This window comes from Homo sapiens, chromosome 12 (genome assembly GCF_000001405.40).
Source record: "Homo sapiens chromosome 12, GRCh38.p14 Primary Assembly".
In the NCBI taxonomy this organism is placed as follows: Eukaryota; Metazoa; Chordata; class Mammalia; order Primates; family Hominidae; genus Homo; species Homo sapiens.
This window is the reverse complement of record NC_000012.12, coordinates 115,615,901-115,635,287: the sequence shown is the minus strand read 5'-3', so window position 1 is coordinate 115,635,287 and position 19,387 is coordinate 115,615,901. Positions and strand designations below refer to the sequence as shown.

The following is a 19,387-nucleotide window of genomic DNA, read 5'->3' as shown; positions in this document are numbered from 1 at the left end:
TTTATTTCTTCATTCACTCAATCAGCATATACTTTTGGAGCACCCACTGTGTAATCGTCCTAGATGCTGGGGACACAGAAGTGAATGGCATGAACCCAAATACCTGCCTTCTCAGATCTTACTTTCTAGTTCAGAGAAATAGTACACAAAACAAATGCAAAAAATATATAGGTGTGAGATGGTAATACTAGATGTGATGAAGAAAAATAAAGCAGGAAAGGAGGAAAGAGTTCCTGTGTGTGTGTGTGTGTGTGTGTGTGTGTGTGTGTGTGTGTGTATGTGTTTAAATTGTAAACAGGGTAGCTGGAGAAGGCCTTAATGAGAAACTGGCACCTGGGCCTAGAACTGAAGGAGGTGAGGGAGTCAGCAAAAAGAACATCCAGGCAGAGGGAACCACTGTGCAAAGGCCCCGGGGTGAGTGTGTGCGGGTGCATTTGAGGCACCTCATGGAGGCCACAGTGGCTAGAAGGGAGTGGCCGGGGATGGGGAGAGTGGTAGGAGTTGGTGTGAGAAAGATAGCAGGGAGCAGATTTCTGAGGGCTTGTACGACCCTGTGAGCTAGGGTGAGGACTGTGACTTTCATTAAAAGTACGATGAGAAGCTGTCAGAAAGTTTTGAAAGCATAAGCATCATGTGAATTGATCTGTGATTTTAAAACTGATCTCTAGCTGTTGTGTTTATCATAGGCTGTGATGATTAATATTAGGTGTCAACTTGATTGGATTGAAGGATGCCTAGATAGCTGGTAAAAGTATTGTTTCTGGGTGTGTCTGTAAGGGTGCTGCCAGAGGAAATTGACATTCGAGTCAGTGGAGTTGGCGAGGAATACCCATCCTCAGTGTGGGTGAGCACCATCCAATCGGCTGTGAGTACAGCTGGAACAAAGCAGGCAAAAGAAGGTGGGATGACCTTGCTTGCTAAGTGTTCTGGCTTTCATCTTTCTCCCAAGCTGGATGCTTCCTTCCGCTCTTCCTGCCCTTGGACATCAGACTCCAGGTTCTTCAGCCTTTGGACTCTTGGATTTATATCAGTGATTTGCCAGGGGGCTCTTGGGCCTTGGGCCACAGACTGAAGTCTGCACTGTTGGCTTTTCTATTTTTGAGGCTTTTGGACTCAGACTGAGCTACTACTGGCTTATTTCTTCCCCAGTTTACAGAGAGTCTATCATGGGACTTCGCCTTGTGATGGTGTGGGTTAATTCTCCCTAATAAACTCTGTCTCATATATACATAGATCCTATTAGTTATGTCCTTCTGGAGAACCCTGACTAATACATAGGCTGTAGGAGACATAGATAGAAGCCAGGAGTTCAGATGGAAATAAGCCAGATGAAAGGTGACAATCACCAATTCTTAGTATGACCTTCAGTGTTAATGAAGGCATGATATTCTGCCATGTGGCTGTGTTATAATTTACCTAGTCGTTTTTCTAGAATTGGACGTGTGATTATTTCCAATTTGTATTCCTGTCCCACCCTTACTTATGAACCCACCTGAATAATTTTTTTCAATTCCATTCCCAACTGAAATATCATATTCTCTCTGACCCTATTAGGAAAGATTGTGTGAATTGAACAGTGCTTAGAAACAGGGCAGAGGCCTTTCTTCCTGGTGGTGTGGATAGGCTGTTTCCTGGAGAAATTAGGCTACACTGACAGTCATCTCGTTGTGTCTCCCTTTTGCAGATTTGGGGATCTGTAGGGATGCTGTTGGTGCCTTACCTGATCCCCTGGGATCCTCTTTGGCAACTGAGTCTGCATCACCCAGCTGTTGTGTAGGGTGCTGCTAACTGCTCATACCTCCAACCCTTCTTCAGAGAATTGCTTTGGAGTGACTGGAGCCACTTTGCCTGCAGGAAACTGAGAGTTTTACATTCCCTTCCATGGCAGCCCATAGTCAGTGACTGGCATATGCTGGGGTACAAAAGTCAAGTCTCCTCATCTCAAGGTGTGCAGTGCCATTAACACCCCAGGGCTCCTGGTCAGATCAGGATGAGGCTAGATTTTACCTGAAACCACATCATTGCCTGACTTCTTCCACTTTTCTATCTTGTTTCTTCCATACCAATATAGGTTTCTCTTAAGGGCACTCAATAAATCACTGGCACCTAATCCTTGTCCCAGGCTCTGCTTCTAGGGCATCTGGCCTAACCTAAGACAAGGCTATTTGTCCTATGTATAATCAGTCAACACAGATACAGACACACTACCTATTGTTTTCTTTATTCTATTTACTTGCCTTGATGCCAATGTGCTCTGTTATGTCATTGATTCATGCATTGATTTTCAATTTAAACAGCACCCAAAAGTATAATGATACCCTTCCTAAATGCATAGTGTGTTTTTCAGCATCAGAAAATGTGGGTTTGAGTCCTGGCTTCCCTATTTTGCTAACTCTACACCCTGGGCAGTTCCATGGCCTCTTTGAGCCTCCGTTTTCTCAGCTGTGAAATGGAAGCAATAGTAATGTTATCTCAAGTCAGGCACATGAAAAGCACTTTGCTTCTGAGAACAGTTATGATTCACCATAAATATGGCAGTTAAAGATGATAATTGGGAAGTATTGATCTGAATTTTCATCAGATTTCTGAGATATGGTTTTACATGGATGCTTGGCCCTTTTAATTTCATACATGAAAAATCTCTCTCCAATTCATAAATTTCACCAAAAATTTGGGCTCAGGGCCACCTTTATTCAAGGGTTTCAGGTACAACATTACCACCAGGTGGTAGTGTGGTTATATGTCCTGAGCAAAGCAATTTGTCCCCCATCTTCCAAAACTACTACAAAGGTTTTGTGATATATTCCATTCTATATACTCCTACCCTCTGTAAAAGCACAATAAAGTCATGCAGAATTCTCCAATGCAAGTTGTACACTTGCCAAGATATTTTTAAAAATTCATTTGCAGGCTGACTAAGCAAAACTGTTTGAACAACTGCAACTAGGCTCTCTTGGAGCAAAACCAATAAAAATATCAACCAGGTGGTAAATTATGGAATGTATAGATTGGGAGGAAGTTTCCCTAGATGAGTTTTGAAGAAGGTTTATCATAGGAAGTGGATGAAACCCAGGATGTTGTTTCCATACAAAGGCTGGCATGTGCCACTTGTCATACTTAAAATTCCATTCCATGCAGAATTTGGCCTACAGTAGGTGCTCAACAAATGTTAAAGAATCAATCAGTTCATCAATCAATCAGCCCACACATGCATGAATAAATGATTAAGGACTGTAATGGCAGAATGTATTTTATCTGTAGGATAAGCATTAAGAAACTCATCTGATGTAGACATGTGCTTTAGTTTTTGGGGAGAATGAACTCGATTGAACAAGCAATGTAAATAGGGTTGAGGTGTCAATTATCTGTGAACTTCCTTTTTAAGCTGAGAACTTGAAGAAGGAAACTGTTTGGAAAACTCTGCTGTAGCTGTTAGGAACTTCCTGGGCCCTGAACAAAATCAGTCTTGACTCCACAGTGTGAAAGAAGGGAGGAAATCTTAAAGCTCTGATTTTCTTTCCCCCAAGATACCAATTTCCCTTGGCCAGTCCTCATTCTCCATTCAATGATCTAACCTAGGCAGACTTGCAGCCCTCCTTCTAATTCCCTGTAGCAAATCTGAGACCAGGACAGGATGTCAAATAGCATCTCCCTAAAGGCTCTGGGATGGCACAAGGGAAATAAACTGAGAGGACATTGAGAAGAAATAGATGATTTGTCCCACTAGCTAAGTTACATTCCTCTTTGGCTTGAAGTGTCTTTAGGGTGTCTTTCTGCCTATTTCCTGGCTATTGATGAAGCAGAAGCCAACGTTTTCCAACAAGCTGGAGGTATTCCTGATGACATCTAGGCTGCTTGAAGTTGAGATTCGGGGGAACTGGGCCTAAGGAAAGGAAGGACTTTTCCCTCTTGTGTTTGTGTTAGCTAAAAATGCAAATGACTGCAAATCATGGAAAACCTAATGACAGAGGCTTAAATCACCCACATATCAGAAGTCCTTGTGAGTATGCAGTAGATTGTTGGCATTGGCTCAGTAAGCCAATAGTATTCTTTTGAGAGCTCCTGGGATTCTCTTGGGCTCTCCCTCATGGCCACAAGATGGTTACTTCCTGCATTGCCAGAGGGGAAAGAAGAAAAGGGAAAATGGGAAGGTCCAGGTTAAGGCTGTCTCTTTTTATCAAATTATATATAATGTTTCCAAAATTCTCCCTTGCCGGCTTTCATTTCTGTTTCCTGAACAGGACTAGTCCCATAGCTGCAAGGGAGGCTGACCGTGTTTCGCTTTCTAGCCTCTACAGCGGATGGTAGCCAGGGAGAAGGGAGGAGGAATAACTCTTGGGTCTCTAGTCAGTAGTGTTGGCCCAGTTTCTACAGCCTGCTTTCCAAGTTCCTATTTCTTACCTGGGTACCTGCATCTTACCTGATAATTCACATCTTGAATGCCCACATATATGAGAAGACGCCACTCACTTTCTGCCACAAGAAGCACCATAACAATCAGACCCAGATCTGTCCATGCGAGAGATACCCAAAGACAACAGCTAACATCTGCTGAAGACTTACTTGCCAGGCACTGTGCTAGGTATATCACATTGAACTTTTTAAAACCCTAAAAATAACTTTGAAATCACTCCATTTTACAGACGAAGAAACCAAGGCCCAGTTTTGTCGAGGGACTTGTCTGACTAAAAAGAGACATATTTTGGATTTGAACTAAGGCAGTGTCATGGTCTTAGCCATGATCTTAGCTGCTATAGGCATGTACTCAGCTGAGTTCATTCAAGGCTGGCTTCTCTGCTATCGCAGCAACCAGTGACCATTTTCCTTCTTAGTCACAGACATGCCTGGGGTCCCTGCACCCACCCTGCTTTCAGGATCTGTTGATGCTATTCTTCTAGGCCGGCAGTAAAATGACATTTATGAGGATTTTTCCCTTTGAAGTGGGAGTGTTTGCGCATTTCACTTTAAAGCAAGGGAAAAAACAAGAGCTCAAGCAGATAAATAACTGCAGCCTTGGAGAAAGAGCGTGACGCCTACGGATGCAGTCTCTACTCATGTCAGGTCATCTTAGACGGAAAGATCTTTATTCGTCTCTCTCAGCTGACACTTTTTATGAACTGCTTGCCCCCACTTCCATCTCCTGTACTTATAAACAAACTGCCGACTTTTGATTCTTTTTTAGTTCTTCTCCTCTGTAAATGTTTCTTTCTTTTGCCCTGTATGTTTCTTTGGGGTGAAGGGACATGTTTCCCATTTCTCAGGTTACAGTATTTGCCCCGAAGATTTGGAGTGAGATAGAATTTTGGAATATTGGTGTTGCCACTTACTAGTTGTTTGACATTGCGGCGGGGGGCCGGGGAGGGGAGGGTGGAAACTTCTCTGAATCTCAGTTTCCTCCTCTATAAATTGGGCATGATAATATCTGCCTTCAGGATTGTTGGGGGAGTCACTCTAGAATGGTAAATTTCCTGAGGAAAGGAATATGCTATTTCTACCTTTTCTAGACTAACTGCAGAATCTCATTGGCCCTCCCTCAAATTTTGATATGTTCACTTATGTGTTATACATTACAATATGCTATCGTATCCTAGTCATCCATTCTCCATCCAGCACTCATTCATCCATCCATCCATCATCCATCCATCCATTATCCATCCACCTGTCCATCCATCCATCCATCCATCCATATCTATGCATCTATAGGTGATGTGTCTTTAGAATATACCACTAACTTCTTCCACTGCTATCACCTGGGAAACTCATGCCATTTCCCCCCTGGATTATTCCGGCAGCCTCCTAACTAGCCTTTCTGCCCTCACCTGTGTTGCCCTAAAGTTCTATTTTCAACACAGAGGCCAGATTTATTTTGTTAAAATATAAAATTGTGTCACTTTTTGCTCCAAATCCCCCAATGATTCCCATCTCACTCACTGTAAAAGCCTAGTTTTTATTATGGCCTGCCATCATCTCTGACCCCATCTCATACTTCTGTCTCTCTCTGTTCCAGCCACATGGGCACCCTTGTTGCCCCTTGAATCCTCCAGGCATGGTCCTGCCTTGGGGACTTTGCACCTGCTGTTCTTTCTGTCTGGAATGCTCTTTCATCAGATATTCTTGTAGAGTCCTTACTCCCTCAGGGCTTTGCACAAATATCCTCTTCTCAGTGAGATCTTCTCTGATGGTCCCATTTGATATTCCCACCCCTTTTCTACCCCCACAACTCATAAGCCTCTTCTTTTTCCTCTGTGTTTCCTCTTTAGCATTTATTACCATTTAACATACTACATACTGTATTTATTGTCTCTCTCTTCCACCATGATATAAACTTTGTGATGGCAGAGACATTTGTCTGGTTCTTTGCTACATTCCTTTACTTACATTCCTATTACCTAGAAAATGCTTGGCATAAAGTAGGTCCTCAGAAAATGTGTTGAATAAGTGTGTGTGTGTGTGTGTGTGTGTGTGTGTGTGAAACACCCACCATCATGTAATATTGGAAGAAAGAACCTTACCCAAAAGAAGGTTTATAACATATATAAAAAGTCTTTACAGTATGTGTCCACTTAGAGACAGCAATATTACTTTCCCAAATGTTTTCTAAGAAAATCTTCATGGATGTGTCTAAGAGCCAATTTAGCTCTAAAGATGTTCATTCATGCATTATTTATGATTAAAAAATGAAAACAACTAAAATGTCTGAATAGGGGAATAATTAAATTAAAGGGTTCTATATGCAGGCATTTGTGAAATGCTGTAGTGCTAATTGACATAGAGTGTCCATGTCAGGTTAGAAAGCACATGAATGCATGAAAAGATACTGCTGTAGTTTGAATGTCTTCTCCAAAACTCATGCTGAAGTGTAATTGCCAAGGTAATGGTTTGGGAGGTAGGGACTTTAAGAGACGATTAGGTCATAAGGACTCCACCCGAATGAGTTAATACTGTTATCAATGGAGTGCGTTAGTTATCGAGTGAGTGGGCTCCTGGCAAAATAATAATCTGGTCCCCATTTTCTCTCTCTCTGTCAAGCACACAATCCCTTACCATGTGATGTCCTCTACCATGTTATGATGCAGCAAGAAGTCCCCACTGGATGTGTCCCTTGATTTGGGATTTTCCAGCCTCCAGAACTTTGACTCAAATAAACATCTCTTGTTTATAAGTTACCCAATCTCGGGTACCTAGAAGACAAGACAACAAAATATTAGCAGTACTCTCTCGGGGAACAAGTGTAATTTTAATCTATCTGTGTTGTCTTGTATGTCTTCTTTTTCTTTTTTTTTTTTGAGACGGAGTCTTGCTCTGTCACCCAGGCTGGAGTACAGTGGCGCGATCTCGGCTCACTGCAAGCTCTACCTCCTGGGTTCACGCCATTCTTCTGTCTCAGCCTCCCAAGTAGTTGGGACTACAGGTGCCCACCACCATGCCTGGCTAATTTTTTTGTATTTTTTTTTTTTTTTTAGTAGAGATGGGTTTTCACTGTGTTAGCCAGGATGGTCTCGATCTCCTGACCTTGTGATCTGCCTGCCTCGGCCTCCCAAAGTGCTGGCATTACAGGCATGAGCCACCACGCCCAGCTGTCTTGTACATTTTCAATAATAAACTCTAAGAGGTTTTCTAACTTAAAAAATAAAGTTTTTTGAAAGAAAGTTGAATAGCATCATTTCAAAAAGTGATCTCAGGTGAATTAGGGCCAAACTAGCTCTATCAAGCTTAGAAATCTGATTGTAATAAACAGTGAAGGCCAAAGGATTTGCATTGTACAAGCTTCCCACCCTACCTATTAATGCCATGTTTATTCTTCCTGCTTGTTGATATCTGTATCTCCAGAGGCTTAAATGAAGTTGATAGTCAAAGTAATTTATGTAGTTTGCTCAGTCAGACACATCAACTCTGGGGAGAAAGAAAAGACACATTATGCTTGTCTGATTGTAAATAACTCAGGTTGGGGGTTTCCATGGATATAGTTTATCCCATGGCCATTCCTATCTTCTTCCTTAGGCCACTGCAGGCTTCAAGGAGACCCTGAGGTAGTAAATGGTGGCTAAAACCAATACTGCTGTTTACCCTTTTAAGTATTTTGAGTTCCTAACAGCTTCCCTTAGAGAGTTCCTAACTCCTTAGAGAGGAGATAGGGGTGGTGTGGAGTAAAGGTCAACAAACTTTTTCTGTGAAGGACCAGATAGTAAATATTTTAGGCTTTGCAGGTCATAAGATCTTTGTCACAACTACTTAGCTTTGTGATTGTAGTGTGAAGGCAGCCATAGATGATACGTAAGTAAATGGACATGGCTGAGTGCCAATCAAATTTTATCTATGGACACCCAAATTTGAATTTCCTATAATTTTTACATATCACCAAATACTCTTCTTCTTTTGAACTCCTCCCACCATTTAAAAATGTAAAACCAATCTTAGATTGTGGACATATGAAAGTAAGTGGTGGACTGGACTTGGCCTCTCAGGCTGGAGTTTACTGACCTCTGGTGTAAGAAATGGAATGGAGATTTATACTACTGAACTTACTATTATTTTTAATGATGTGGAAATAGTGCTTTTTTTAGTTAAAATAAATGAGTATATACTTTTATAACACAGGGTACCAGATGTCATGAAAATGTATATTTTTCTGATGCACAATATGTAATTTTTAAACTGGCTCAGATATTGTGTCAGATCAATTGATAACTGCAATATATAAAACATATGAAACTAATTCCAGGAAATACCTTATATTTATGTCCTTGGGTCTGAATTTCTGAGCTCTCTGTGTTTAGGGATGGAATTTGGTTTATTCAAAGAGTAGCAGGTTATATATCTTGATGGTTACATTAGCTCAATATTTTGTTTCCTTTCTGGAGCAGGTAAGCCTTACAGACTGTTTTAGTTTGCAGCAATTAAATTTGCTTATCGCTGTGAAACAGAATTTCATTTGAAGCCAGTTATTAATGTCTAAAATGCACTTCCAGGAAATAATTTTGAACGTTTTATTTATTAAAAAGAACTCAATGTTTGTTCAAAGGCATTGATGTAATTTACAAAGTTCGATATTAGATATTTTATGAGGCAATATAAAAATGCCATTTTGCAAGGCCCCATTTTTTTAATTGTACTGTGGCACATTCAATGTCAGTATAAGGTGCTATTTTGTATTCTGCTTTTATGGCACTACTTAGTAAGTTTATTAAGAGAATTAGCAAACAAAAAACCTTCCACTCTTCCCAGCCCTGGATTCTTCTCATTTGCTGGTTTATTTTTAATGAAACATCTTCAAAAGGTACATAAAAGAAGCCTCTTTACTTATACAGCTTTAGTGCCTCACCTTTATGGAAAAAGAAGAAATTTGGGAATTTGATTTCATCTGGAAAATCTGGGACACATGATACTGTATCAGATCTTGCTATACCTCACCAATATTCTCTTTGCACTTGTCAAGTACATGCCTATGGTGCCAATGCAAACACCTGAGACTCTCCATCTGAGGGCTTTCTCTTGGACTCAGTGAAGGGCAGGGTAGAAATGCTGGGGAATCAACACCCCAGGAGCAGTCCTTTATCAACAGTGGATGGGTGTTAGAGAATAAATACTTGTCTTCTTCCCCACTCAGGGAACGTAACTTTAAAGCATGTTCTATGCAGCCTTTCAGAGTTCTCCAAAGGATTCAGTTTCCAGTTGGCCACTGTGGGAACCTGCTCCACAATGCAGTGTATCGGTTATCTACTTTTGCATAACATGTCATCCCAAAACTTAGTGACTTAAAGCAACAAATACCTACTATTTTACAGTGGGGTAGGGTTTCAGATAAGGAGTAGTTGGGTGGATCTGGCAGGTTCTCTCATGAAGTTGCAGTCAAGATGTCGGCCAGGACTGTGATCTCATCTGAAGGCTTGACTGAGGCTGAAGCATCTGTTTCCAAGCTTACTCCCATGGCTGTTGGCAGGAGACCTCAGTTGCTCACTACATGGGCCTCTCCACAGGGCTGTTTGAGTGTCTTCTGACATGGTTTCTGGTTTCCTAGAATATGACAATGGCTGTCTACAGAAACTAACGATTTGTTCTTCTTCTCACTCTGGGACAATTTTGTCCTCTCTATTACTCAGGATAGACTAGTTGCTAAAACCACCACCACAACAAAAATCTTCAAAATGTCCATGGCTTAACTCAAAACAAGTTTGTTGCTTGCTTGGTGGCAGAGCAGGGGTGGGGAAGACCCTGCTCCATGCAGTCTTTCAGGGTCCCAGGTGCCTTCCATACTGGGCTCTGCTTCCTTTTATTCTTTAGCATCTTCTCAATCCAGATGGCAAATGGGGATTGTGAAAAGAGCATGGAGCTCCTGAGAAAGACGCTGTTGTTAGGGCAGCTGGGCTTGGAAGTGGCACACCTCAAGGCTGCCCAAGTTCATTGCCCAGAATTCACACTCATGGTCTCCCCTAACTTCAAAGGAGGCTGGGAAATGTGATCTTGTTGGGTGCCAAGGGGAAGGAAGCTAAGTAGGTTTTTGGGGAGCAGCCAGCTAGGCTCTCCTACATCTTCTAACAACCCCCAAAGAAATGGCAATAACTCAAACTAACCCCCTTTATTGAGCTCCTTGACACAGGTCAAGCCCTTTTCCATGTTCTGCCTTTTTTCTCAGTCTGATGACACTTTGAAGCAATAGGAGAAGCAAATGCATATGGCACTGACTGTAGTAACTTAACCCCTACAGCAACCCTGTTAGGGCTATTTGCCTTTTATATTATTTGCATTGTAGAGATGAGGTTTTTATTTGCATATTATTATTTGCATTTTAGAGATGAGGAAACTAAGACACAGAGAAGTTTGGTCAATTGCTCAAATCACACAGCTCAACAGTGACAGGTGGGATTTGAACTCAAATCCTGTGTCCTTTCTAAGCCACAGCTGGAGTGTGACTCCCAGGACTGGACCAGCCTTGTTTTGATCCTCCTTGGGAGGAATGAACGCAACTGTGCTGTCTAGTGTGATAAAAATCTCTGCAGCCGTTGGAGCTCAAGGAGGCTCTTCCCAGATTACCCCCCTTCCCTTTCCTAATGAGCCGGGAGATGCCGGCAGGACGGCGGCAGCCAATGGACAATTAGCGGAGAGGGCTGTCCCAAACGGGCTGGGCCCAGCATCAGGGCCCTAAGTGTCTGCTTATTAAATCACAGCTTGGCCTGGAGCCCGCGGCTCTGCCCCCTCCTCCTCCTCGCCGGGACGCCACACACAGCCCTTCTGGAGGCAGCCCCCTGGGATAAAGCTCAGCCCACAGGATCCGGGGAAAACACAACTAGAGAAAGGCAGGAAGACATTCCGGCCCAGCACAAAGGCCCAGGCGTCAGAGGAGATGGGTGGGCACATTCCTCTGCACAACAGCAGAGGGGATCACCACGCACCTCCTGCGTTGGGTGTGAGGTCAAGCCTCTCACCTCTTTGAGCCTCAGTTTCCTCCTCTGTACAATGGGGATTTTCCAGTGTCTGACTCACCAGGATTACATGAAGTGATGCTCATAAAGGCTTAGCACCTGGCTTGGAGCAGAGTAGGGATCTGAACAATGCTCTCAGCTACTTAACAAAATGCAGATTCATTGAACCAAACCCACACCTGGAGGCTGGAGCTAAGGAATCTGCATTGTGTATGTTCTACACCAGGGCCGGAAGCACAGTATAGGTGGATAAATAACGCTTTGAACAGAAGTCAGCAAACTTTTTCCTCTAAAGGTCCAGAGAGTCAATATTTTCAGCTTTGCTGGCCACACTGTCCCAACTTCTCAACTCTGCTGATTCAATACGAAAGCAGCCACAGACAACGTGCATTGAATGGGCCAGGCTGTGTTCCAATAAAACTTTATTTGTGGACACTGAATTTTAAATTTCATATCATTTTCACATGCCATAAAATAGTTTTCTTTTTTGATTTGTTTCTCAAGCCTTTAAAATATTCAAACTATTTGTAGCTCATAGGTTATATAAAAATAGGCAGCGTGTCAAATTTGGCCCAAGGGCTGCAGTTTACAAACCCCTGTTCTAGAACAGTGCTGTTGCTTAGAAATATAATGTGAACCTCCTGCACAATTTTTAATTTTCTAGTAGCCATATTTAAAAGCAAAGTTTAAAAAAAAAAACTAAAATGTGCTTTAATAATATAATCAATTTAACCCAGTATATACGAAGTATTAATTTTTTACTTATTTTTATTTTTTGAGACAGGGTCTCACTCTGTTGCCCAGGCTGGAGTGCAGTGGTGTGACTCCAGCTCACTGCAGCCTCAACCTCCCAGGCTCAAGCAATCCTCTTGCCTCAGCCTCCCAAGTAGCTGAGACTACAGGCACCTGCCTCTATGCCTGGCTGATTTTTTATTTTTTGTAGAGATGGGGTCTTACTATGTTGCCCTAGCTGGTCTCAAACTCCTGGGCTCAAGCAATCCTCCTGCCTTAGCCTCCCAAAGTGCTGAGATTACAGGCCACTTATTATCATATGTGCACCCAGACTACCATATAATCAATATAAAAGTATTAATGGGATATCCTACATTCTCTCTCTGTGTGTGTGTGTGTGTGTGTGTGTGTGTGTGTGTGTGTGTGTACCAAGTCTTTGAAATCTGGTATGTTTTACACTTACAGGGCATCTCAGTTCAGTCCAACTCATTTCAAGCACTCTATAGCCACCTAAGCTGGTGATTCCACTAGTGGATAACACAGCTCTAGATGACGTGTTTTTTGTCTGATGCCATGCCAGACTGTAGTGGCTTGGCCATCCTCCCATTCACAGAATGGAGAAACTGAGGCCCAGAGAGGAAAAGCAGCTTGTCTGAGGTCACACAGCAATGCGAGCTGCACAAAGTGCTTACTGTGATTTCTCAGAGGCCAGGGTCTCTACCTCTCTTATGCCCAAATCCTGTTGCCACCAAAACTGCAACCCTGTTAATCCTGAAGTCTGATGACCACCATCTTTCCAGCACACCCTCTCTGAAATGCCACCTCCCACAATTCCTGACCTCACAGGGGATTCTAGTGTCTTGGTTTCTTCCTATCTTTCACTTCTTCTCTTTCCACCTCAACCCACCATTTCTAAGACCCAGAAGTTGGAGTCTCCTTGCTTATACTTTTGCTGTGCTTGCCCTCCCTTCCTCCCTTAGAGTGCCTGGAGAAAACCTAACCCATCTGACCTTCCTCACTCCTCTGTCCTTTTCTGGGGCTGCAAATTGCTGGGGGACCACCATGATGGTGAGTTCGCTGCACCGACCTGCTAGGCTATAGCACCCAGATATTCAACAGCACATGTATGTAGTTGTTGCTATGATATGTGGTGAGCATTGACAATCAGCTGACTTGAAGTAAAGGAGACTCCTCAGTAATCTGGGTGGACCTCATCCAATCAGTTGAAGGCTATAAGAGCGAGAACAGGTTTCTGGAGTAGAAGAAGAAATTCTGCTTCAAGACCGGGGCATCAGCTCCTGCCTGAGTCCCAGCCTGCCCTGTGGACTTTGGACTTTGCCAGCCACCACAATTGGTGAATCAAATCCTTAAAATAAATCTCCTCTTGATTCTGTTTCTCTGGAGAACCCTGAGTGACACCACAGCCCTCTACTGTGCTGATTCTCTTACTTTGAATTCCTGCCCAATCCCCTCTAGAGAGCTGTTGCTGCCACTCAGAAATGCCATTGCTTTCTCACTGTCTCTCGTCCGTCTTCAGCCTCTGTATCCCTTCCTCATCCTGCCCTGACCACCTGTAACAAAGAAACACCCAAACTCCATCAAAGTCAGGACCCCCTTAACCCTATTTTGTTTTGGCGCCCCACCATGCCTCAATGAACATCCTAGATATTGACTTACTTATTTTGTTTGATGTCTGTTTCTGTAAGCTCCAAGAGGGTGGGGACTTAGCTTAGTTCCAAACCTAGAATAGTGCTGGCGCATAGTAGGGACTCAACAAATGACAGTTGAAAGAACTGCTGAAGGCATGAGCTCATTAAGTTACTTATTTTATTTTTCTTCTGAAGTGGGCACTAGTATTAAACCCCATTTTACAGATGAGGCAACTGAGACTCAGATTTAAGTCACATGTCAATATCTGCAGGGCGAGGAGGTAGCAGAGCCAGATGTGAGCTCAGGCCTGTCTCTCTGTCTGACTGGCTGAATGCTGCTGTTGACTGTCAGGTGCCAACTTGGCAAGCCTGCTGTGAAGGAACGGTGGGAAACAGTTGCCCAGTCAGCAAGGATGAAGCTGCTGAACTGAGAGCTGGGGCTGCAGGCAGATGCTGCAGCTCACGATTGTGCAACCTTGGCCAAAAACTTGCTTTGCTAAGCCTTGGTTTCCCCATCTGCATCATGGCAATCATCACACATACTTTGCAAATTTCTACTTTTACTGAATCTGCTAAAACCAGCCACATTCCTCATAACCACGGTCAGGACTCATCTTCTCTCCAGGCTTCCTTTTCTGCTTCCCCATGAGCCCCAGCCTGGCCTCCTTGGGATCATAGACACCCTCACTCTGGTTCCTACTTAAGGCCCCCTCCCTCCAGCGAACACGCCCAGACGGGGAGTGACTTTCCGTATTCCCTGGGGTTAGTTCCTCCATCATCTGCCACCTCCTGGATATCAAGTCCTGGAGCCTCTCAAATCTTTCATCCTGGCAGCCCACTCACCCTGCAGGCCAGGCCCTACCTGCTGCTTGCCGTGCTGCATAACGGTGTGATCTGGGTCTGCCTCATACCGGCCAGCTTTGTGACCACACACAGCCATTTCCTCTCTTGGAGTCTCGGTTTGCACATCTGTAAAGTGTGGACACACTGCTGAGCTCATGGGGTTTATGTGAGCACTGAAAAGAGATGCAAAAGTGTGGACCAAGCATCATCATGGCACATAGTAAAGACTTGTGCCCAGACTTGTGTGCTTCCTGTTTAAGTCTTAGAATCAGGTAGACCTGGGTTCGAACTCCAGCTCTGCCTTCCACTAGCCCTGTGGTCTTGGGCAGGCAACATAATCTCTCTGACCTTGTTTTCCCTTATGTCAAGTGTGGGTAAAAATGCTGCTTCTCTTATTAGGTGTCACGAGGATTATTTGAAAGTGTTCATGGCAGTGGGTGCCATAGGGCTCACAGTAGCCTTGGTTCTCCTCTTTTCCCAGGTACACATATAGACTACATTTCCCAGCCTCGCTTGCAGTTAAGTGAGGGTCGTGTGATGGAGTTCTGGCCAATGGAAGGTGGGCCTGCCTCTTAACAAACTCCTACATAATTCTCCATGCCCTTGCTTCCCTCCCCTATCAGCTAGATGCAAATATCCAGGGATATAATGACCTAGAGCCCTGATTCTCAAAATGTGGCCCCCTGGATCAGCAGCATCTCCCAGGTACATGTCAGAAATGCAAATTCTATGTTCCAGCCCAAGAACTACTGAATCAGAAACTCTAGGGGTGAGTGGGGCCCTGCAATCTGTGCTTTAACCAGCCCTCCGGGGGTTTTCGATGCATGCCCAAGTCTGAGAACTGCTGCCCTGGAGGATGGCAAAGACTCGAGTGAGAAGGAGCCTGGGTCCCTGAGGAAGTAGAGCACATCCTTGCTGCCCCATAGATAAGCTACTGAGTTGGGGGATTGCTTGTTATAGCAGCTAGTATTTAAAGTAATTGGCACAGACTAGGTACTGAAAAGTTGGAGTCTATTATTACAGGTTTAGCATGAGAGATTTGGAGATCATTAAGGAGCTAGAGTGCAATGGCAAGGATGGGACAGGACGCCATGTGCTGGGGGAGCACTTGCAGCACTTGCATTGAGTAATAAACTCCTGTCTGCATTGCAGCTGCTGGGGGTAGGTGGTGGAGGGATATTGCCCACAGTGAATGACCTCCCCAGGCAAGGTGGCAGGAAGCCGGAGACAGGCATCAGCTCAGCATCCTCCAATTAGCTGCCATCCCTGACCCCATCAAGGCTGGAGGAAGTGCTGGCGCTTACCAGCACTCAGGCCCACCTGCCTGGAGGGCTGGCAGACTCAGCAGTTGGGGTGGCGGCACCTGGAGGTCTTGGCCTAACAGAGCCTCACTTATTCCAGAGATCTGTAAAGGGTTAGTGGGTGGGGGGCTGGCAGGCGGGGAGGAAGTGGCAGGGAGCAATCACATGAGGTCAGGCTGACCTCTCAGCCCAGCCCCGGGGGCAGACATGCCACGTGTGGCCAGGCCAGACCTTATTTTCTTGGAGTTCTGGGGAAGGGACTCTCCAACAGTTGGAAAATTTCCACTTACCAGGAGCTGTCTGTGTAGTTGTGGGGAAGAATGTCAATCACTGTGGTTGGAAGGGTTAGAGAGCATTTGCAGTCCACTACAATGCAAGGCCACCTGAACACCTGGGACCACCCATGTGGTCCTCCCCACTCCTGATTAGCATCATGGAACACATTTATTGATTGCACACTGACACCTGGAATGGTCCGCTAAGCATTCCGTAGACATCATCTCATTTATGACCCAGGATATCACTCCCCGCCTTTTACAGATGGGGAAATGGAGGCACGGTGAGGAGCAGCCACCTGCCTTGGTTGACTCCTGTGTGAAATGGTAAGGTTGAGATTTGAGTTAGGTGGGCTGACTCTGAGGGCCTCATTCTGTATTTTTTTTTTAAATTGTGGTAAAACTGACATAACGTAAGATTTTCTATTTTAAATATCTTAAGTGTACAGTTCAGTGACATGAAGTGCATTCACATTGCTGTGCCCCTCCAGGTGCCGCTATCCATCTCCAGAACTTTTTCATCACCCCAAATTGAAACTCTGTATCCATTAAACACGCACTTCCCATTCCCCTCGCCCCTATTCCCTGGTAACGACCATTCTACTTTCTGTCTCTCTGAATTTATAAGGGACCTCTTATAAGTGGAATCATACAGTCTTCATCATTGTGTGCCTGGCTTATTTCACTTAGCATTACCTCCTCAAGGTTTATCCGTGTTATAACATATATCAGAATTTCTTTCCTTTTCAAGGCTGCATAATATTCCATTGTGTGTATAGACCACGTTTTGTTCATCCATGCATCGGTTGATGAACATATGGGCTGTTTCCACCTTTTGGCTATTGTGAATCATGCCGCTACAAACATTTCTGTACAAGTATCTGTTCGAATCCCTACATTCTCTTCTTTGGGGTGTTTAGCTAAAAGTAATTATTGGGTCAAGTGATAATTCCATGTTTAAGTTTTTGAGGAACCTCCACACTGGTTTCCTCAGCGGCTGCACCTTTTTACATTCCCAGCAGCAATGCACACGGCAGGTTGGATTCTTAACCACCATGCTCTCCTTCCTCTCTGAGTAGCCTGCATTTGTCCCGCTATGGAGAACAACGTGCTGTCCTATCTCTCAGTAGCCTGCAATTCGTCCTGCTCTTGTGGAGAGGCAAAGACTAAAAAACTATCCCTGCACCAAGGGGGCTCACGTCCTGGCAAGCGTAACACCTTGTCTTTATAATGCAGTACCTGGATTCAAGCCTCACGGGTATGGGAGGCAGGCCATTTAGCATTGTTATCCTTGTTTTACAGAGGAAGAAGGTGACACAGAGCAATAATTTGTAGTGCGCCTTAAGGTTACTGTTTCCATGGGACCATCTGGGACAGTGGAGGCCACCAGTGCACACCTTGTGGACCCCCTTCTGGAGACCATAAGTGATGCACCTACCTTAGCCCCAGCTACAGGGCTGAGCCAAGGCCACGCCTCCAGGGAAGCTCCCAGCCAATGAGTGTACGCGTAGGGGCTCTAAGGCGGGCCTGCCGATTCCTAGAGACCCGGGCCTCCCTGCATGGCTGACCTGGGTGTGAGAATGCCCCATCATCATTGTCCTTGTGTTAAGACTCTCCCCCCAAACCTTCTGTTCCCCTCTCCCCTTCACTCAAGGTCTGATAACTCTTCCAGCCTGGTCAGGCTTCCTCTTTATTTTCCTTCTCATTGGCACTTCCTCTAATAAAACCCCTGAATGTTTAATCCTGTCTTAGTCTGCTTCCTGGAGAATTCGGACTAATTCATTGAACTTATGGAGGTTCAATCACCTCCTTTTAAAGGGGAGGAAACTGAGAACCAAGGACAAAAAGAATGCCCAAGGTCAGGCCTGGTGCAGTGGCTCACACCTGTAATCCCAGAACTTAGGGAGGCCCAGGCGGGCGGATCACTAGGTCAGGAGTTTGAGACCAGCTTGGCCAATATGGTGAAACCCCGTTTCTACTAAAAATACAAAAATTAGCCAGGTGTAGTGGCGCGCATCTGTAATTCCAGCTACTCAGGAGGCTGAGGCGGGAGAATCGCTGGAACCCGGGAGGTGGAGGTTGCAGTGAGCCAAGATCATGCCACTGCACTCCAGCCTGGAGGACAGAGCAAGACTCCATCTCAAAAAAAAAAAAAAAAAAAAAAAAATTGCCCAAGGTCAGTGGAAAAAACAGTCATTGGAATTTCCTCTCCTGACTCTCAGATAAAGCCTGGTGTGGTACATTATCTGATACCAGGTTGGGGAGGAGTTTCGGGATTAGGGTATTCAGAGGGAAGACTAGCGAGCTGGTGGTGGGACAGTCTCGGGGAAATGCCTTCCAGACAGAGGGAAGGGTTAGTGCAGGGTCCCAGAGCAGGAGTGGGGCCTGCAGTGTTTGATGGAAGTAGAGTGGGTCTCCCGCAAGGTCAATGAGGGATAGGGGTGCCGGGAGTCAAGAGGTGATGTCAGTGGGGAGGACAGGGCTGCTGCCCTAGACCCAGGCAGGAGTTCAGATTTCATTCTAAATGGGATGGGACCCTATTTGAATGCTTTGAGTTGAAGGGTGCTGTGACTCGGCTTACATTTAGAAGTCACTCTGGCCATCATGGGGAGAATGCACAGAGAGAATGCTGCACCTGTGATGGGCCTGGTGCTCACGTCTAGATAAGGAAGCTGGGTCAGGTTCAAGAGGCTGCTGCAGGTGCCCAGGTGAGACAGAGAGCTTTGGCTTAGACCGTGGAGAGTGAGGCGCGATGGTCAAACTGCAGAGGGAATGCTAGGGGGATTACACTGTGCAGAACTGGATGATCAAGCCAATGATGGGGTGTGGTAGGGGGGAACAAAGAATTTGAGTGTCCCAGGTTTCTTGGCTGCTTGTGTACTCGCTTAGAAATAGTCATTGAGACTTTTCACTTCCTGAAACTCTGCAGGATATTGACATAGAAAGGGCTTCTCCAATCAAAACCTGCATGAGGCCAAGTGTGGTGGCTCATATCTGTAATCCCAGCGTGTTGGGAGGCCGAAGCAGGAGGATCACTTGAGCCCAGGAGTTCGAGACTAGCCTGGGTAATGTGGTGAGAACCTGTCTCTATGAAAAATACGTTAAAAATTAGCTGGGCATGGGGGCATCACTTGGAGTCTTAGCTACTCAGGAGGCTGAGATGGGAG

General features: G+C 44.8%; 2 long non-coding RNA genes across 4 annotated transcripts in view, besides 1 other annotated feature; both read left to right on the top strand.

Annotated features, from left to right (window-relative positions):
* The window catches only part of LOC105370003 (uncharacterized), a 389,555-nt gene that overhangs the window by 127,778 nt on the left and 242,390 nt on the right, over nt 1-19,387 (top strand). The gene's annotated exons all lie outside the window — the stretch shown is intronic.
* Nucleotides 1-19,387, top strand: part of LOC105370002 (uncharacterized) — a 59,593-nt gene that overhangs the window by 5,849 nt on the left and 34,357 nt on the right. The gene's annotated exons all lie outside the window — the stretch shown is intronic.
* Nucleotides 11,163-11,679: an enhancer, noted in NCBI's record as "H3K4me1 hESC enhancer chr12:116061414-116061930 (GRCh37/hg19 assembly coordinates)". NCBI's record gives its function as "activates a minimal SCP1, AML or CMV promoter by ChIP-STARR-seq in naive and primed H9 embryonic stem cells {active_cell/tissue: H9 hESC(naive and primed)}" and the evidence as "EXISTENCE:reporter gene assay evidence [ECO:0000049][PMID:30033119]".